The sequence below is a fragment of the Homo sapiens genome, chromosome 15 (genome assembly GCF_000001405.40).
Source record: "Homo sapiens chromosome 15, GRCh38.p14 Primary Assembly".
In the NCBI taxonomy this organism is placed as follows: Eukaryota; Metazoa; Chordata; class Mammalia; order Primates; family Hominidae; genus Homo; species Homo sapiens.
In genome coordinates, this window is record NC_000015.10 from 48,029,899 (window position 1) to 48,052,120 (window position 22,222).

Sequence of the window (22,222 nt, forward strand, 5' to 3'; positions counted from 1 at the left end):
ACCACAGTGGAGAGACAATTTCCAGAAAAAGCAGAAACTAAGCAAGCAACTCTATAAATGTGTACAACAGATCCTCAAATGTTGGCCTCCAACCAGGCTTAGTGTTTCAACTCTTCCTGCCTGCAGCAGAGAGCGTCCCCTGCATTATAAATGCAATGTCATGGAGGTAATTACTACCTAAGGACAGAAGAGGCCTCAGCCCCAAAAAGTCCAGCCAATGTTGCTCCTGATGCATCCTCACCCTCCCTCCCTCCCTAATTCTAATAGCCCTTCCCTATGCCTGAGCGCAGCTATTCCATAATGGGTTTACACCTGCTCCACGCTTTAGGGTTAGGCCAGTCTGTTCTGACTTCAGTTCCACCACTTACCAGCTGAGGGTCTTAGGCAAGTTATCTACTCTCTCTGAACCTCAGTTTCCTCATCTACAAAGGGACATAGTAATACCCATCAAAAGGGTTGAGTTGAGGTAACAAATGCCATATGGTTGAAACAGTGTCCAGTGCCATGTGAATGTTAAGTGCCTTTTCTTTTTCTTCTTCTTGTTAATATTAACCTTTACAATATAACCTACATGTGCCCTTTTAAAATAGGCAACTAATCTTCAGTTGGATTTCATTATTATAGACCTTACATCATGTTCCAAAAGTCTCAAATAACATGTTCTATAAAAGCAAAAGCCTAAAAAATAAGACAAAACTCAAAAAAAGGCAAATAGTGAATTTAAAGACTTTGTGTTTTGTTTGTAGTTTCTGATACCAGCAGGAATATGATCTCCTAATAAGAATTTATGTAAGAATGAAAGAAGAAAAAGGATATAGAACACTGTACACTGTGCCTAGATATAGAACACATTTAACATGTAGTGGTGGTGATTATTACTATAACTACTATGATTATGATTACGAGTATTAGTCCTAAGGAGAAAAGTGCTTAAACGTTCATTCCAAATCTTGTAAGGTGATCATTTCGTTGACTGCTGGGAAAAGCCATGAAGCTTCTTTTCCCAGTTAAGTTTGAATTGTATGTATACATGTGGGAACAGATATAAATCAATATATAGAACACAAAGTAATTTCTTCAAATACTTGGAAAACAGAAAGGGAATCATTGATTAATGCAGAAAAGAGAACAACACTTGTCCTGGGCAGCTGGCAGCCTTCTTGGTGGTATTGCAAGCGGTAGTTCCTGCTAAATTCCACACTACTTTCTCGCTCAGACAGCTTTTTAGCTTCTGTTAGAAATAAGTGAGTGCTTTAAGCCTCAAAGCAAAATACATCACCTCCCGATGAACCTGAGCAGCCCATCCCAGGTACCGGTGGCCAGATTCACCATTCATCCACGAAGGAACATGGTAAACAGGAAGGAAGGAAAGTTCGCTTTAAAAACATGGACACCTCCTCTGCTCTGGGCCAGATCTCCAGGCTCATTTGCAATGAGTTCTAAGGGGATGCACGGGGAAGGGATTCTGGTTCAAGAAAGAAGGAGTGAGGGGAAGTGGGAGGGGGAGGTACATAGTGTAGACTCTATTGCAAAAATATTCCCTTCTGCATAGAAATCCACAGGCTGGCTGCAGTCATTACAGTTCTTTGCCAGGGCCTGCAGAAGATATCTTCTTTAGATGGGCACCAGGGAAATGCTGCCTATCTGGAGCTGTTTGATTTGTTCTCTGGGTTAGATATTGATTTTTCTTTCAGTGGAATAGCAAAGGCAAGAGAGCATGAAGGAGGGAGAGAGAGGTGGGTTCCCTTCCCCCATCGCTGGCTCAGGGTGATGTCTCAGAGCACCTGTAAGCAACTCCTTATCTTTTACAGGAGATGAGAAATTGAGCCAGGACTCTCCAGTAGTCAGACAGCTGTTAGAAGCACAGTGTGCTATGACTGTGAGAAATACACTAACCCCCTCCCTTATCACTCTGTCTCCAGTCACATACAGCCTATTTAGTGTGTTGATAACCATATTAAAATCATCCACATACAGTTTGAATATTGATGAAAGCACAACTATATTTAGATTTGATTTTTCTTCCCTAGTCCTCACCCTCCCCAAACTCTCATCTTTCCTATTTCTTTAAGTTTCTCGAAAATTGTGCAAATTGTTAAACATTTATCAGAATATGTTTTTCATATCAAGACACATCCATACAGTAAAGGTTTTGGCTGAGCTGATCAGCTTCTCTGATCGGGAGAAATTGCTTCTGTGTAAGAACTAATACCCACCTGGTTTCAAACCTCAGCCGCTGGCAAATATGTCATAGCAAGAGACATTTCCTGTTTCTTTGACAGATTGGCCCGGGGCTGAAATTTAATCTAGTATGTCAAAAGTGGTAGGTGGGGAGAAAAAGCAGAGAAACTCTGTCCCCACTCAGATTTTTATAGACAACCTTTTTTGAAAGTACTGTGGTTATCAGTGGGACCTGATAAGCAGTAACGGTCCGCATTGTAAAATAAAACAATAAAGAGCCTTTATAGACCTCTAAATTTATTATTTTCAATGATAAAATATTCATACCAAAAGACAGATGTGGGGATTCACAGGCAAAAACCAAAATGATCTAGTAACAGACCTTACACCTTTCATAAAAATTATCTATGAATGGACCATAGACCTAAGTGTAAAACACAAAATGATAAACTCCTAGAAAATAATGTAGGAGAGAATATAATAGATGACCTCTGTTCAGTGATAACTCTTTAGATACAACACCGAAGACACAATCCATGGAAGAAATAACTGAAAGGCTGAACTTCATTAAAACTAAAAACTTCTTCTCTACAAAAGATACTGTCAAGAGAATGAGAGGACAAGCCATAACCTGGGAGAAAATGTTTGCAAAAGACACGTATGATAAAGGATTGTCAATCAAAATATACAAAGAACTCTTAAAACTCAACAAAAAGAAAACAAACAACTCTATTAAAAATAGATATTTCACCAACGAAGGTATAAGATAGCAAATAAGCACATGAAAAGATGTTCCACATAATGTTATTAGGAAAATGCAGATTAAACGAGATACCACTACATAACTACTAGAATGGCCAAAGTCTAGAACACTGACAACATCATGCTGGCAAGGATGTGGAATAACAAAAACTCTCATTAATTGCTGATGAGACTACAAAATGGTACAGCCACTTTGGAAGACAGTTTGGCAATTTCTTGCAAAACTAAACCTACCCTTACTGTATGATCTAGCAATGGCCTTCCTTGGCATTTACCCAAATAAATTGAAACATGTCTAAACAAAACCCGCACAGGGATGTATATAGCAGCTTTATTCACAATTGCCCAAACTTGGAAGCAACCAAAATGTCCATCAGTAGATGAGCGGATAAATAAACTGTGGTACATGCATACAATGGAATATTGTTCACCTCTAAAAGAGAAATGAGCTATTAAGCTATGAGGAAACTTAAATGCATATTACTAAGCGAAAGAAGTCAGTCTGAAATGGCTACATACTCTATGATTCCAACTTTATGACCTTCTGGAAAGGGCAAAACTATGGAGACAGTAAAATGATCAGTAGTTGCTAGGGGCTGGGGTAAGGAAGGAAAAATAGACAGAGCACAGAGGAGTTGTAGGGCAATGAAACTACTCTCTATGATACTATAATGGTAGACACATGTCATTATACATTTGTCCAAACCCATAGAATGTACAACACCAAGAGTGAACCCTAATGGAAACTACAGACTCTGGGTGATAATATTGAGTCAGTGTAGGTTCATCAGTTGTAACAAATGGACCACTTTGGTGGGAGATGTTGACAATGGGGGAGGCTGTGCATGTGTAGGGGTGGGGAGTATATGGACAATCTCTATATCTTTCACTCAATTTTGCTGTGAACCTAAAATGGCTCTAAAAAATAAAGGGCATATAAAAGAAAAACAAAGATAAGATAGAGTGGCAATATGATGAAGTTCTTTCCTATGGGAGGGAGAAAGGAAGATGGGAAAGGAAGTAGAAAATGTACCAATCAGATTTAAAAGCTCAACTTACTGCTCTCGCGATGCTGCAATGAAGACCTCATGGCACTAACCCCTTGTCTCTTCTTTGGTTGGCTCTAGTTTCCATGTCACCATCTCTCCTTTTCTTTTGCTCTCACTTTCTGTTCTTTCTTGTCCTCCCTTTACTTCATCTTCCTATTTGTACTTGTCTCATGCTGCAGGGACACATCTGGGTTCCAAATCCCCACAACCTTTCTAGTTGGCTGCCCTTCAGGACCTGGTTTCTTGAACCTTTTGACCACACTATAAGTAAGAGCCTTGATCTTTTTTCTGACTCTAAAGCAAGCACCTCCTGAAAGGGTGGAATGATAGTGAAGCTATCATCCTCACTACTTATATCCAAGAAACACTTTTTACATACTCACAAATCATCAGACTGTATTCTTAAAAAAAATAGCAATTTTCAAAAAGAATACCTACAGTGTGCTTGTCTTCAAATCTTTCCCCCAATTAATTCCATAAACTCTTATTGAGGTACTGAGGACATGGTTGCTGACCTTGGGGACAGGAGAGTTGTCTTTCTGACATGGAAGATAAACTTGTCCTCAAATAATTAAAGTCCAATGTGCTTAGTTCAACATTGGAGGACTATTCAGAGAAGGATGATTATAAAGAACATAATCTGAATTGCAAAGCAATGAGAAAGAAAAGAAAGACTTTCCAGAGGATGGGGCATTTCAGAGAAATCTAGAAAGAAATGACAATCCAGCTGAGGAGACAGCAAAGATTCAAAAGCAGGAAGGTACTGCAGTGTTGCAAGACAAGACATGCGGTGCTCCTGAGGCAGGTGCAAAGGAGGCATGGCAGGGATAAGTCTGGGGAGCAAGAGGCTAGATTTGGAAAGATCTTTTAGGCCACACTAAGGGATTTGGCCATCACTCTGCAAGAAGCCTTTGGAGGATTTTAGCAGAAAATGAAAATGGTGCTTTCTGGATGGTTGTGCTGGTGGTTGGAGGAAAGAAATCCTGAATAGGAAAGCCACTAGAGGAAGGCCTGTAAGGAGACCATCTCAGAAGGCCAGACAAGGATGGGGCAGCACTGCTGGTTGAGAGGAGAGGAGTGAGTTGAGAAATATGGAGAAAGTGAGAATCAATAAGATGTTTTCTTGGGGAATGGAAAGTAAGGGAAAACAAGGAGTCGAGAATGCACCGAAATGTCTGGCTCAGGTGGCTAACCACATGGCTGTATTGTTAACTAAAATATTGAGCATGGGGGCAGAAGGGTGTGGACTTTGCAAGAAGATGAAAGATGCCACTCTTTACATATGTAGTTGCTCAATGGATGAATTGATGAAGTATCAAAGAGCAATATCTTGGTGAAATACACTTTTCATCTATAGTGTGTCATGTCCTTATAGCAAGAACAACGCAATTTGCAGAATCAATAGACTCCAAGGGCTGTACATCATTATCTTAGAGCTCAACATCTCCCTGCTCCCTACTGACAAAAGCTCCAGCCTCATCTTCTACTGTGGGTGGCGGCCATAAGCCCCACAGCATACATGCTTCCACTTCAGGTCAGAGGATGTGCAGGATGTGCCGGCTTTCTCGCTTTCTCATTTCTGATATGGAAATAGTAATGCCCATCACTCCACCCACCTGCTGCCCTTCTTCCTTGATAGCCATTTTGAAAAGGTAAATTATCTAATACACTGACCATATCTTGTATTGCAAAAGTAAACATGTTAATGTAAACCCACCTAGGAGATGAAGAACGAAGCCCTCCATTTCAAATCAGGTTGCCTTTGGTGACACTCATTCTTTCATAACTTACTTCCTGCTAATAGTGCATAATTGCAGGTTTTATCTCCAAAATGTCTTTCTCATACATGCCACCATAGCTAATCCCTCAGGCTGTTATTGTTGTTGTTGTTGTTGTATAAACTATAAATAATTACATAGCATTTGTTACTTGACAAGTACTATGCACTATGCTACACAGTTGTTAAGTGCTATCTCACAACATCATCCCATCATCACAACAATGCTAAGTATCCCTATTTTACAGTTAAGGAAACTACATCTCCAAAATGTGAATGAAAATTCCTAAGGTCTCACACTAAGTAAATGGAGCATCCAGGATTTATACCCAGGTTGACTAACTCTCCTAGTCACGATGCTATACGTCAATCAAATGGGAAGTCACTCACTTTAAAACTGTCCATGAATGAGAAGAACTTCATTTCACTGGTTAAAACCTAAAAGCATCTGGTAGGTTTTTCTTTTCCCTGAAGTTGCCTAAACTCTCCCTGCTTAGAAATGCATAGAACATTGAGGCAGAGACTGTTTCAAAGAGACCTCAGATGTGCTATGTACTTTTAGACAGTGCAATTTTTACTTTTAAGAAAATAACAAGGCCACTTTCATCTATAACTTCCTTCAGTGGTCAGATTTCAATGGGTGTGTGTATGTGTATGCATACACAGTGAAATACTACTCCCAACTTTTTATCTGCAAGGAGCTTCCATTAAATGCAAGCTGACAGGAGAGGGAAGAAGGCATAATCACCTGCTATCTATGCTTTTTTTTTTTTTACCAGCCAAATGGGGCCATCATCTAAGCTGAGATTAATCCTGGTACCCAAAACCTACAAAGGAAAGTTTCTTTCCTCAGGAGACACTTTAATCAAGACCCTGTCTGATGTCAGATAGAAATATCAGAATATTAGAAAACTATTGCAGTGTGAAGCCTCGATTTGATCAAATGCAGCGCCCCTCTGCTCCCAGTCCCCATCTTGAAAACTGGCATTTGCTTTCCGATTTTCTTTCCCTTTCAATTTGTTTTCCTGTCAAAGGGATCACTCTTCCTATCCCCCTTTCCGGTAGTACCATCTGATTGAATTCCATTCAGAGCTCCTGGTGGTCCTGTTCTCCAAGCCTACTTGAGGGGGTCCCTTTGCCTGTTTCAAGCCATCTATCTCTCTGGGCAACTGAAATTGTGCTGCAAAATGTAGCACCACTTCTTGGGACCTTATTAACATATGTTCAGAGGGAATGGGCTTCAAGGGAGGAGGCATTAAGCATCTAAAACACACACTGAGACAGCAAAGACTCCAAGAGCATGGCAGACAAGGGATAAAAATCAAGTAACTGATATGAAAAAGCCAGGCAGTACACAAAGGGCCAAAGGAAGCTTTTCAATTTATATTTTTTGTGTTGATATCACATTTCTTCCTGCCTAGCAAAGATAGGTCCTGAAATACAGAGATGTCAGAGAGTTTCTATGCTTCCTGGCATCTTAGATTCACCTGAACTGAAGCCAGAAATAATATCATAAAACTAATTTAGCCATCACACCAATAGGACTCCCCAGCCATGAGATAGACTGGATAATTACATGTTTCCTATAATTTCTGACACTTGACTAGTTTCAGCAAATGGCACTTCTAAATATACATCTCTTTGTTGCAGCTACCTCTCTACATCAGTTTTTCATCAAGCAAAAGAAATTGAACAAAAAGTTAATTGCAAAGATGAAAAATCCAAGTCATTGTATCAGAACAATCTAAATTAATTGACTCCCCCTGCCCCCTGCCTCCAAAAGTCCAATAACCTAAGTGATCGGGAAGACAAGCTGATCAAGCCACAGGTTTGTAAAGTCCAGACGAGTTGTACCATCTCAGGGGAGTTGCTTCACCTCTGGGCTCTCACCCTGTAAATGAGGAGGTTGAACTAAAGATTCTCTGTGGTTGTGTCCTGTGTGTTAATTAATACCCTGTGAGCCAGCATCTTGTCCCATCCAATTGTTTGTGTTTCTCTATTGTCTGTATTAAAGCAGAAGGAGCTCTCTGATCTCTTATGCTGCTTCTCCATTGGATCCCCTGAGACCCTATGGTGAGATACCCAATGTTTTCAAGTGTCTTCCAAAATACATTTCAGTTCATACTTCTAATTACACACACTACAAACAATTAACAGTGAAACCAAAAGCTCTTGTTTAGTAGAACAGCTGATGTGGCTAAGATAAGGGTCGAGCCGAACCGTGAAAATGCCAAAGTCTCTGGCCAGCCCAGAAGGGCATCCTCCCTACTGGAAGATGCATGCCCAGCAGAATTTGCCTCACCTTCCACATAAAGAATAAGTGGGCTACACAAAACTGCAGAAAAAACAGCCAGTAGAATAAGTAAACATTTTTCTTGTCCAATGACCTGAGTAGAAAAAGATGTGTGGTGAAATATGGTTCTAATTTATAGGTGACCCATAAATAAGTCATATTTACTGACAGCTAATATGCCAAGCACTGTTCTAAGGACCTGCTTCCTCAATTCATTATAGCAAGGAATAATGAATGAGGAAGGGACTGTTGCTATTCTACTTTATAGATGGAAAAATTAGAACACAGAGAAGTTAAACACACTAGTAGACAGGTAGTAAGTGGAGGAGGTGGGACTGGAACCTAGACATGCAGGTTTTAGAACGTGTACACTCATGACAGTATACTGGCTATTGTGGAGACTTATTACACCCTTAGGAAACACTGACAAGAGCTACAAACCTAATGTGGAAAGCTGGAAAGCTTCCCGTAAGTGCATAAGGCAGATCTCTATTAGGAGTGTGTATGCTCATGTCAAGGTTTCTGTATATTAATGACTACATATGTGAATTAGGGGCTGAATAGCAATAAGCACACCTACAGCAAGGAGAGGCAGAATGCCTCTGAATTCCAGGCTGAAGGAAAGGAGTAAGGCTTGGGAGAATAAGGATTCTCTTGGAATAAGGTTCTCTTGGAACCAGCCAAGAGAAGTGGACAGTTATACAGATCTTAAGTTCAAATCCTGAATCATTTACTAACCAACTGTATAAACTTGGTATTTTGCTTATATTGCTACATAACACACCACCCTAAAACTTAGTATCTTAGTACAACAACATTGATTTTGCTCATGGCTCTGCAACTGGGGCCAGACTTGGCAGGGTCAACTTATCTGTGCCCCCCTAGGCATGAGATTGGAAGCTGGCATCTTTGGAAGGTTTGGCCATCAGTACTGGGTGTTAGTTAGCTGGGACCTCAGCCAGAGCTGTTGCCCAGATCCACACGTGGCCTCTCCATGTGGCATGAGCTTCCTCACAACATGGCAGCTGGGTCTTAATGGTGAATATTCCTAAAGAGAGAGAAAGGGCTAGACAAAATGTGACCTTTTATTGATATAACCTGAGAAGTCATGCACCATCACTTCCACAACATTCTACTTATTGAGACAATCATAAAGACCAACCAACTTTCAAGGAGAGAAAAAAATGTACTTCACCTCTGGGCAGGAGAGTATCCAAGTTCAGGATGTGCCTATGCTGCTGGGAACATTGCTGTGGTCATATTTTGAAGCTACCATCTGCCATACTTGGTTAAATTACTGAGGCTTCTAAGCCTCAGTTTCTTTGCCTGAAGAACTAGGATAATAAAACTTTATGGCGTTTGTACAAAGGTTAGAGATAATGTATGTCATGAGCTTGCACTGAGTAGGTGCTCAATAGAAAGTCTCAGCCCAGATTGGGGGTCAGGCCTGGGTAAGCAGAAATCACCTATTGCTCTTGCAGTGGTTGCTGAATTTCTCAGTGACACACCTGTACCTGGACAAGAAACACAATTGTCTGAACAAGAATAAAGTTAAAGGCCAAAGCACTCATCCTGCAGGCCCTTCCTAACTCCCTTTGGGACTTCTCACCAGGACCCTGTCTTAGGGAGGCATCAGTTCAGTTAGTTTCTCCTACATTATTGCATATTTTTTAGGCAATTTAGGTTGGATGTAAACAATAAGTAACTAAAAATAATGAGTGAAACACTAGGATTTAGAAGGAATTTTGATCTCATTTTTGGGTGTTTACTTAAGTGTGTAGAAAAGTGCTTTATAAAAAGCCCTGACAGCAAAACAGGCTGGTTGGGTTATTCCCTAAAGCTAGTATGCTCTCCAAGTAAGTTTTGAGCCTGGGATAGCACAGTGGCTCACAGTATACCAGATTAAAACATTTAAAACACAAAAATCTGGTGTGATAAACCTAACTTAGAGTCACAAATCTCAAAAAAAAAAAAAAAAAAAAGATTGTAAAGACAAGTCCATGATTTTTTGGGGTAACTCCATGACAGAAAGGTACAAATGAAATCTGAGCAGATAAGGCCTCCTGAAAAATCAAGATGTGATGGAAATCGCATTTCTGTACCTAAGTCAGTGGTAGGGATTCTTGGGAGGCTCCCTCTGCTGAGTTTTCTCATGAATCCCAACTTTCTATTCCCTCTGTAAGTGGAAAATGGGAGAGAAAAGCAAGACAAATGGATAAAAATGCACTCTGTCTCAAGATAGTATTCATAAGGAGCCCTCTACAAAGAATTTCTTCAAAAGAGAGAGATGAAAGGGGGTCTGGTTTTTGCTGGCATTTGAGCTGGCATTTGCAGCATTACCGTATGACTTCGAGCAGGGCATGAGCAGCTCTTTGATTGCCAAAGAACAGTTGCACCTCTGTCAGAACAGCCCTCATGACTCATGCGGCTTAGCGGCAAAGCAAGGGATAAGAGCAGATGTGAGGGGAAGATCACAGCAGAGGGAAAGTAGTTTGAATACCAAAAAAAGAACATATACAGAAAAGAGTACAAAAGAAGCGTGAGCATGAGGAAAGGTGAAAAGGACAAATTATTTGGTAGTCAGCACTGTGGCAGAGCACCTGTTGTCTTTAGAGACAACAGCATATCCAGGAGGAAATGCATTGTTCTTTCTTGATCATAAAACTAAATGACTGCCTAGAAAGTGTGTCCGTGGGAGCAAACACCTTCCTTTTCTGTTGCCCTCATGCAACAGAAGCCTGATCTATATTGCAGAGTGTGGGAAACTTATTCAAATACTATTAGTTTGAAAATTAACACTTTTTAATAGTGCTTACTATGTGCCAGGTACTCTGCTAAACTCTACAAAAATGGAATCATTTAATCTTCATGGCAACCTGAGAGATGGACAAGAAAACTGATGACCTTGTCTCTTTCAGTGACTCGTCACGGCTATCCTTATCTCCGTCCTTCACCACTGCATTAGCAATTATTATTTTTTTAACTCTTACTATATCAGGTGCTCCTTACATCATCATACATCCCTCATCATTTTAGTCCTTTCAACAAGGACTAAAATGCTGTGGGCACTATTTTCATTTCCACTTTCAATGAAATGTTAATATGATCATTTTACAATGAGACTTAGGAAGGCTAACCTACATAAAATGGTAAAACTGAATGGAAATTTCAAGAAAGATCCTGCTTAGCCTGTCCTCAGAGCTGGTGCCCAGAACCACCATGACATCCATATAAGGCAATAAACAATTCATTGGCATCTGGTGTATTTAGCGATATGAGAAATTCTGGTCCCAAGGAATTTCATGAGAGCCATAAAGTTGCTTGCTACTTCCACTCTCTGGTGGATGGGTTGCCAGACACCTGGCATTAAATCATAGGATATTAGAGCTCCCCATCTCTGTGTCACCCCCATTGTATCGACAATGAAACTGAGGTACACAGTGCTAACTAAAGTCAGAATCAGTATTCAAAAATCGCATGACTACAGTCTACCACCCTCTTTCAAGAAATTCTTGGCCCGGAAAAATGGATCTATATTAATCCAGCCCATTTTTACTGGATGTTTATGTCTTCACTGAATGACAAAGCACAGGACACAGGACTGGAACATAAATTTTGGCCCTGCTTTCATTGTTAATGGGATTAGAGGTCTTTTACTGTTCCATTTACTGACCGGTCTTGGAAAAGAATCTTATTCTGTCCTCTGTGAATAAACCTCACTTGATGAAATGACTTCTGCAAACTCCAGAAATGTTCTTAATTACATTAAAATTAGTCCTAAATTACCAGAAAAGTCTACTTGAAAATGTTTGTCAATTATTTTACTTCCAGATGGCAGACAACCACAAATCAAATCCAAAATGCATGCTGACATCTTTTAGTAGCAATCCCATATTTGGCCACAATCAACTGACTAATTCCTCAGAAAATTTATTCATTTGTTTAAAGAAAACCAACAGCACTTACTGTGTACTCTTTAAACCCCATGTAATCACAGAAAGTGAGTGGCACACAAGACAAGTTAGTTGCCCAGTCCCCAAGGAACTGCCCCTATCGCAAAGAGGACAGATATGTCTACAAAGAAAATTCAGCAGAGCATTCATACAGCAAGGTAATCAAAGACTTATATGCTTAGAAACCCTAAGAACTGGGATGTGAACAAAGATGGAGTTCAAAGATCTCTTTCTAATTCCATCAGCTGGCTAATAATCAAATGGCCATTTACCAAAATGATTTGAAATTGCAGAATCTCCTGATCTGCCTTCAGAATTAATGCTCAGGATAATGAATGCCCAGTTCCTTCAGATGTTTAATTACTGAAGGGCCTTACTTTCCAAGACAGAGACTAGACAAACTCAGGAAGTGACATGGAATCTTAATGAGATGTATCTTGAGATGTCATGTAATTCAGACTCCATCTTCAGGCAAGACTCTCATTTTTAAAGACCTTGGGGAGAGAAACTTGACAACCTTCTTTGTTGACAGTTTTGACAACCCTCAGAAGGGTCTGCAGCAGTAGCTCTTAAAGTATGTCCCTATGCCATGGCCCTTATGGTCTCTTGTGGAAGCTTGACAAGGGCATACTCTGTGTTTATCCTGCATCTGGGACTGAGGTTTTGGTCCTCTTGGGTCTGGAAGATGGTCTGACTCTGCATCCAGAGGGAGTGAAGATTGTGGGGACCAAACCAGGGCTAAGGGGACATTGTATTCTGGTGGGGTGAGATAGACCGGGCTCCCTAGAGCAGGCGACAGTAGCTGAATTTTAACATTTGATAACAACGAACATCTGGATAATTCTTAATTTGCAAAGTTTTTTGACATATACCACATGCAGCTTCCAAAGCAAGGTTGGGATAACAGCTTTGTAATGTAGATCATTGTCCCATTTAATCACATGGAAAATGAGATTCAGAGGATTTAAGTTACTAAACCCAGGTAGGCCTGGGACCACTATTACTCCACCACTCCTCCTCCTAAAAATAGTAATCATGATGATAATGATAAAAAACATGTATGTGTTCCAGCCATTTCGTATGGAATATTTCATCCAATTTTCATAATAGCTCAGCAAGGTAGGTAGTTTCTAAAAATCCCCATTTTACAGAAGATGAAAGTGGAATTTAGAAAAGTTAAGTAATTTGCCTGTGGTCTCCCAGCTAATGTGGTGAAACTGAATTCAAACTTAGGTAATTTGACACCTAAGCCCCTGCTCCTTCTATATTCACTAACATTTTAGAAAACAACCACAATTTCTACCAAAAGAGGGATTCAAAACCCTAATAAGTCCATATTAAGTATAGCTGATATTCTAATCCACTTGGACAGTAATAAAACCCACATCTCCCAATGTGGGAGACATTGCTGTCTCTACCCTCCTTGTTCCCCTTCACCTCTGAGAATTCCAGCGTTATCCTTACTTCCTTATGCATTAATTATGGTATGGGTTGATCCATGCCCCTCCCCACCCACAGGACACCAAGAAATGAACTGGGAGTATGGTCTACAACACCCTTGCCTTGAGCGGAAGGGAGGACCCTCAAAGAATAATACAGAGACCATTGGTAATTTTCTTTCCAAACCACTTTCTTATCTATGATTCCTTTAAATTTTGAGTTTTATAGAGGAGGTGCCTGATGAGACGTGAAAAAACTAAATACTTGTCTAACATCACAAAGAAGTTAGAGGCAGAAACAAACATATGAAAAAAAGCTCATCATCACTGATCATTAGAGAAATGCAAATCAAAACCAAAATGAGATACCATCCCACACCAGTCAGAATGTCAGTTATTAAAAAGTCAAGAAACAATAGATGCTGGTGAGGCTGTGGAGAAATACAAATGCTTTTACACTGTTGGTGGGAATGTAAATTAGTTCAACCATTGTGGAAGACAGTGCGGCAATTCCTCAAGGATCCAGAACCAGAAATACCATTTAACCCAGCCATCCCATTACTGGCTATATACCCAAAGGAATATAAATCATTCTCCTATAAAGACATGTGCACACGTATGTTTATTGCAGCACTATTTACTATAGCAAAGGCATGGAACCAACTCAAATGCCCATCAATGATAGACTGGATAAAGAAAATGTGATACATATGCACCATGGAATACTATGCAGCCATAAAAAAGAATGAGATCATGTCCTTTGCAGGGACAAGGATGCAGCTGGAAGCCACCATTCTCAGCAAATTAACACAGGAACAGAAAACCAAACACCGCGTGTTCTCACTCATAAGTGGGAGTTGAACAATGAGAATACATGGACACAGCGAGGGGAACAACACACACCCGGGCCTGTGTAGGGGTCAGGGGGAAGAGGAGGGAGAGCATTAGGACAAATACCTAATGCATGCAGGGCTTAAAACCTAGATAATGGGTTGATAAGTGCAGCAAACCACCATAGCATATGTATACCTATGTAACAAACCTGCATGTTCTGCACATGTATCCCAGAACTTAAAGTAAAATATAAATAAATAAATAAATAAATAAAAGAAGTTAGAGGCAGAGCAGGATCTTAAACCCAGGTCTCTTCACCCATGTACTATACAACACACTGGTCAACAAGTCAATTTAGTAAGCACTTGTGGAAAGGCTACTGTGATCCAAGTCTTGTGTTCAGTTCTCTAAAGCTTATAAGGAGACTCATGCATTTATTTAAGAAACTTTTACTGAGTACCTACGAGGTACCTGGCACTGCTAGGGGCATTAAAAATACAACAGAAAACAAAAAAGTTCTGCTATCAGGTTGGTGCAAAAGTAATTGTATTTTTGCCATTACTTTCAATGGCAAAAACCACAATTACTTTTACACCAACCTAATACTCTCATGGAGCTAAGATGCTACTGGGGGAAGAGAGACAAATATATGCAAAGAAGATCCAATGCAATTGCATTTCCATTTTTACCTTGAACAATCCTGACTCTAAATTACAAAGGCCAAAACTGAATATAATATTCTAGTCATGGTTTTACTGTGCTACAGAATTTCTAGATATATCCAATATCATGCTTGCTTCTTTGGCACACAGGCTAGATTACATTCTCATGACTGTTTGTCCATTATTTATTTTCAGCCCTTTTTTATGCAGTCTTGATAGAGTGACCCATCTTGTATTTACAGCTTGTTCCTATTAAATTTTATTGTTCATTTATGGACACTTATACAAACAGCCAAGGTCTTGGTCTAAACTGACCGACTTCTAGAACCGTCTCTGAGACCCCTAGCCTGAAGTCATCTGTGAAGTTAATGAGTGTAGAGACCTTATAAATCAGCACAAAGTTCCTGTGGGTTTTTTTTTTTTAAATCTATAGTGGACTAAAAGATAGTAACAATTTTTTTTCCTGCTCCTCTCAACACAAGGTGGATCTGTTTCTCCTTCTCTTGAATCTGGGTTGTCCCTGTGCCTTGCTTTGACCAATAGAATGCTTAGAACTGATGATCTGGGACTTCTGAGTTCAGGTCTCAAAGGAACTGTTAGCATCAGCTTTTTCTTCCTTGAAAGTCAACTGCCAAGTGGTAAAGAGGCTCAGGCTATGTTGGGCGTGGTGGCTCATGCCTGTAATTCCAGCACTTTGGGAGACCAAGGCAAGTGGATCATTTGAGGCCAGGAGTTCAAGACCAGCACGGCCAACATGGCGAAACCCTGTCTTTGCTAAAACTATAAAAATTAGTCTGGTGTGATTGTGCACACCTGTAATCCCATCTATTCGGGAGGCTGAAGCACAAGCATCACTTGAACCCAGGAGCCAGAGGTTGCAGTGAGCCAAGATCACACCACTGTACTCCAGCCTGGGTGATAGAGCAAGACTCTGTCTCAGAAAAAAAAAAAGGCTCAGGCTAAATTCCCAAATCATGAGACACCATGCAGAGAGTATGAGAGACCATCTTGGATGTGCCAGCCTCAGCTGACCTCCCAGCTGAATGCAGCACCTGGGTGACCTCAGCTACACTATGTGGAACAGAAGAACCATACAGCTAATCCTAGTCAATCCACAGAATTATGAAAAATAACAAATCACTATTGTAAAGCACAAAGTTTTCGGAAAGCTGGCTACTCAGCAATAGAAAACTGAAATACATTCTTGACTTGAATGCTCACAGGAGGAATGTTGGGGAAGAAAGGAAGGAGAAAAGGCTGGCTGGCTTTGAACCACACTGCAAATGGGTTCTTAGTTGTATTTTTTCTTTAATGCACCATGAAGCCATTACCAGTAGTTTTCTAACATTGATCCTCCGACCAATGCTGACTGCCAAGAATTATCTGAGAAATTTAACTAAAATACAGATTTCTGAACCCTCCCTTTGGTAATCTGGACACAATAGGTCCCAAATGGGGCCCAGAAATCTGTATTCTTACAAAAGTCTGCAAGCAATTCCAACGAGCATGCATATTTGATAATTTGGGCTCTTAACTATGAATTATTTGAGGGCTAGAAGTAGGTTTATCCATCTATTTCTTGGCCTGTTACAGTGTCTGGCATATACGAGAACAAAATTCATGCTTAAGGAATGGATAAATAAGTAAATGAATAAATTGAGAAAGAACAGGGATATTTGTCCCATAGCCTGTTCTGTTTCAGATAATCTCTCACCCACTTTTGCACCCATGGTGTCCATGACAGCGCTATCACGTGTGCCTCATTCTTTCTTCCTCTTGTTGCTACCCAATAAGGATTTCTGTGGAGGTGAGAAGAATATGGACACAGTGTTAGGAAGGCGATAGGTGAGAGCTGTAAAGAGATACAGCATTAGGACAATGCAGGTATGCAAAAATAAACAAAAGAGAGCAACACCACACAAACGAAAACTTGGCAAAGTCTTTGAACTATTTGCCTCACTAAAATCAGCCCCTGGAAACTAGAAAATAAACTCTCATTTTCTCTCCTTACTTACCTAGATGATTCTACTTTGGGGGGAAAGATATTCAAATTCAAGGACACTGTCACCTCAGGGAGCGTGGAGGAAGGAAGGAATAGAGAAAAGGCAAGGGATATTTGACAGAGGAGGAAGGACAGCCGGACACCTGGGGAGATGGACGGGACCATAGGGACCATAGGGATAATATCTCAGCCAAGGCGATTTGCTTCCTTTTTGCACCAAATTCTGTTCCTGTCATGCCAAGGAATCTCAGTCTAAGGCCTTCGAGACCTGCATTTTAAAAACCTAAAAACCTGAAAGGCTTCCTCTCCCACTTGGGCTCTCAATCTTTCCTGAATACAAAAGACTGAAAAAAAGTAAAGATCTTGAAAAACAGTCCCAAACCATTTCCTGCAGCCTAATTCATTCTGATCCACACCTACTCAAATTACATTGGTGGCTTTGTTCTCTGGCTGCTTTACTTACTAAATGACACAGCAAGCTCTCTAGGTAGAGGGAACAAACATACACAGAGGAGCCATGCACAAAAATAAACCAGGTTGAAACCAAAAAATGAACCAAACTCAAACATATTTTACAGACATTTAAAATGCCAAGGCCAGAATGGCTTCTAAAAAGCCTTCAGAATTAAAAAATCTACTCAAAACTTTGATATCAAGTATCACAATTTGCATTTTATTATATGAGTCATGCATGTTTATGGTAGAAAAATAAGAGAAGGGTTAGTTTAAAAAAAAAATTGTTTTTTACAATACCAGAAGAAACACACACCACACACACACACACACACATTTTCTTAGGATAGATTTCTATCAGTAGCATTACAGGGTCCAATCTTTTGACAAATATTGTCAAATAACTCTTTGGAAAATATGTACTACTCAGCACTCTTGCTAGCTTTGTGGAAGTAGCCATTTCCTCACTTTTGCCATTCCAGGATAGAATCCTTTCTTACTCTGCTTAAGGGCCAGAAGAAAAATGTTTCTCATTATTCAAATTCTCTTTCTTTTTTTCCCCTCACCGGTAGGATTGTAAAGTTGAAACTCTTCTTATGTATTTCTTGGTCATTATTATTCTTCTTTACCTTGGGTTCCTGAATTTTCTACTGGGGTATTCATATATTCAATATTGATTTGTAACAAACCTTTTAAGACTAGGGCTAGTAACCCTTTGCCATTGATAATACAGGTACTTTTCCTGGGTTGTCACTGTTTTTACATTTGTTTATAGCATAGCAGTTTTGAACAGATGGACTTGAATCTTTTCTATGTCCTTGTTTTGTAACCTTAGGTAGATTATTTGATCTTTCTAGTCCTCAGTTCCCTCATCTATAAAATAGAAATCGTAATAGTACCTTGATCATTGGGTTAGATATCAAGTCATATCATGTCCTGATAACAGTCTCTGGTACATAATAAGCTTCAATCAATACTAGGTTTATGAATTTTAGTAGGTTTGTTGCCACTCTGACATGTTAACTTCATTTAAAGTGTTTTTTTTCTTTTATGAATTCTGACCTTTGAGGTCATGCTTAGAAAGTCCTTTTCCACCCCCATTATTACACTTTTTTCTATTATTAAATTTTCTTCTTTACATTTAAATTTTTACTCCATCTGAAATCACCTGTGGTGTAAGTTTTGAGTTAGGGAACCTATAATAACTTCATTGTTGTCACAATATCATATACTGAATAACCATTCATTCCCTACTAGATCGAGAGACAACATGCATTATGAATCAAGCTCTTACACATGCAAGGGTTCAGTTCTGGGTTTGCATTTCTGATCATTGATCAACCTGTCTATTCCTAGGCCAATACTTTACTCTTTTAATGATTGTAGATAGCTTCACAGTATATTACAATATCTAATGAGGCAAGACTTCTTATATTACTCTTCTTGGTTAAAATTGTATAATCATTCTATCAATTTATTATTTCAGATAAACTCTACAGTTGGAAATTCTGTCCAATTTCTTCCATGTGGCAGATGCTGTGATGAGCCACCGAGATCCTCCTTCAGGAAGGAAGACTTATTCCTCCAGATGCTAAGAGTGCTACTGGAGGATGGCTCTCAGCTGTGAGCCCTCAGCTGAAGACAGTTGTCTCACCTTGATCAGGCCTCCTTCCAGAAGTAGCCTGCCTTTGATGACAAACTGATTGGGCTGAGGGGAACACTATAAAGGCCAGTTCTCAGTCCCTATTTGATATGACTCTCAAGATTAAAGCTAGTGCAGTGCTCCCCATGGGGACAGGGGAAGGCTTCTTTGGGACTGGTTTGCAGATCACATTCCCCATCTGCCCAGCTCTGCTTCTCCCCCAACCCCTCCATGGTCCAGGAGCTCTCCCAAATAAATGATCTGCCGACTAACCTCAGTCCAGTTAGCTTTCTGGAAAGCCCAACCTGCAACATTTACTTATAAAAAAGTAAAATTGTTGGGTTTTGGATGAGATCCATTACATCTGATTATTAATTTGGCAGGAATCAACATTTTTACTATAATATATTGTCTTCCCACTGTATATTTTTCTATCTGTTTCATTTTTTCTTATAATCTCAAAAACAGTTTGAAGTATTCTTCACATAGGATCTGGAGTTTCTTTTTAAGACTATTCCCAAGTATTTTTCATTTGGCATTGATATTATTAGTGAGATCTAGTACTTTTTCCTCCCTATGGTGCAAAATAAATTTACAATCCCAGACTATCTTGTAGAAGAAATTACATTATTTTGTGTGGCTTCAAAGTCCAGAAGTGGGATGATGGAAACAAATTACACAAAGACACCTTTTAGTTCACTATATGCACAACATTTCCAAGAACTAGGGTGGTCCACTTACTCCATCTCTGAGGAAGACATGAAAAAGACTACCTTCAGGGATTGAGAGTCCCATGACCATGGAAGCACATAAGAAGGAATCAAATAATTATTTCAGAGATGTGATAGACTAGACTCATGTGTATACTTGGACTAGATAATCTGAATCCAAGATTCAGCAACCAGGCTGCTTGAGGAAGCCTGACTTTACATCATCCACATTTCTCCCTCTCTGTTCTACTGGACAGAGCCTTACAAACCACCCTTCCTGTTCTTCTGGCTCTGAATCATGTTTTTATCTGAGGTCTTGCTAAAGCAAGAAGAATATGTTTAAGAGTTATCTTATCACAGAAACATATCTAAGTAGAGAAGTAGGATTGATTCAAGAAATCTGTGACTACTTGAAATGTGAATTAAGCTTCATCACTAGCTATGAGGACCTGGAGTGAACTCATAAAACAAAAACCAGAGAAATATAGTCTACAGAAAACAGGAACTGAAGAATATACTCATAATTTAAAGCAGGAATTGGCAGATGGCAGCCCAAAGACCCAATCCATTTCACCACCTGTTTTTTAAATAAAGTTTTATTGGAACACAGTTACACTCATTCATTTACATGTTATCTACAGCTGCTTTTGTGTTACAGGTAGAGTGGAATAGTTGTCAGAGACGCCATATGTCCTGCAAAATGTTGCCAACTCATTGCTTGGAAGCAAAGTAACCTAAATAATCCAGTGGTTAAGACATGAACTTTAGAGTCAGACTAAGCTTTGAATTTTGATTCTATTATTTTGTCATTGTATGACCTTAAGCAATAAACATGTCATTTTCAAGCCCCAATTATCTCCTCTATTAGCTTGGTGGAACCGGTGATAACCATAGCGTTTTTGACTGCTTAAATATGGCAGTGTTTGTGTGAGGTTCCAACCCAAGCTAGGGTCTGAGGGGAGAATGTGGATTGGTGGCGGGTAGTTGAAAGAACACTCGGGAGGCCATAGGCAAGTGGGACATGGCTTTTTTATGCACCTCCTCTCACAGTGTCAGTGATACATTTATGCACTTCACAGACAATAGTGGCTCAGAACCAGGTGATGAGCCCACCCATGACATGATTACATAACTGATTATATAATGCACAGGACTGTGCACCTGCACTCCAATCCTGCTGTGTCATGTTGCACTGGATGTCTACCTTGGCCTGCTCTTGACTGCCATGCAGCCATCTTCTTTACATTCCACCCGCTAGGCCGAGGGGGTCTTCTTAGTGGGGAAATGTGCCCACAGCAACAATACAGGGAACAGCAACCTACTACTAATATTCCTGCTATGCTGCCCGTGATTATCAGGGCCCAATGTAGACCACAGCCCAGGGATGCCCACCATCTCTGTAGTGGGTCCATCAGTAAGGTTCTCAACTGCTTTAATCTCCTGTGACATCCCTTGCAAGGCTGCTGTTATGTTTTGTTGATTGTCAGGAATAAATGTACAACACTGTGTCCCTATAAGGGCTCAGGTGCCACCTTGGGCAGCCGTTACTATATCTAAGTCCATCCGGTTTTGCAGCACCACCTTTCTAGTTTGATCAGCCTAATTGGTTAACAGGAGGAGGGTGACTTGGGTGTAATTCAGGGCCTAAGCTGTGTGCCCTGTGCATTTCTACAGTAATGACACCTACTCAAGGGATAGTCAAAGCTAAGGGGTGGAGCTACCAAGGGGCCCGCCACACTCACAAAAACTGGGAACATAGTGCTTCCTAGTCATGTGGGCATCTAGGCAATGTGGGAAGCACAGTGGCAGGCACATAAGGCCACCCCCAGGTACAGCGGTCAGTGCAGTTCACTGACAAATATGGCTACCCTGTGTCTCCACAGACCCATGAACTCCAAATACTTGGATATTAAAAAGCATACTCCTAATTAATCCATGGGTCAAATAAGAAGTCTAATGAAAAATTAGATAATATTTTGAACTGAACAAAAATTAAAATACAACATATAAAAATGTGTGGGAGATAGTTAATGCAGTGCTTAGAGAGACATTCATAGCATTAAATGCTTATGTTAGAAAAGAAAAAAATTTCAAATGAAAGATCTAAACTTCTGCTTTCAAAAAGTAAAAATAGAAAAGCAAAATAAATGCAAAGCAGGCAGAAAGAAGAAAATAATAAATATATGAGAAAAAAATAAAATTGAAAAGAGAAAATAGAAAGGAAAATCAATGAAGCTAAACAAATAAAACTGATAAATCTCCAGACAGACAAAGAAAAAAGCAAGAGGGTACTAATTACCAATACAAGAATGAATGATTGTATTCATCATATTCACAAAGCTATCAAAAGAATAATAAGAAAGTACTACAAACAACTCTAAGCACACAAATTTGACAACTTACGTTAAATGGACCAATTCCTAAAAAGACACCAACTACAAAAATGTACCAAATATGATGAAGAT

General features: G+C 39.8%; 1 long non-coding RNA gene across 2 annotated transcripts in view, besides 1 other annotated feature; it reads left to right on the plus strand.

The window, feature by feature from the left end:
• Nucleotides 1-19,650, plus strand: part of LOC124900354 (uncharacterized) — a 165,186-nt gene extending 145,536 nt beyond the window's left edge. For both annotated transcript variants that reach the window (XR_001751516.3, XR_001751518.3), the window contains exon 3: nucleotides 18,892-19,650. This is a non-coding gene — a long non-coding RNA (uncharacterized LOC124900354). The remainder of the gene's footprint in view (nucleotides 1-18,891) is intronic.
• Nucleotides 2,896-4,095: an enhancer, noted in NCBI's record as "BRD4-independent group 4 enhancer chr15:48324991-48326190 (GRCh37/hg19 assembly coordinates)". NCBI's record gives its function as "activates an origin of replication core promoter dependent on BRD2, P300/CBP, MED14 and CDK7 cofactors, and independent of BRD4, by STARR-seq in HCT116 cells {active_cell/tissue: HCT116}" and the evidence as "EXISTENCE:reporter gene assay evidence [ECO:0000049][PMID:35650434]".
• Nucleotides 19,651-22,222: the final 2,572 nt, after the last annotated feature.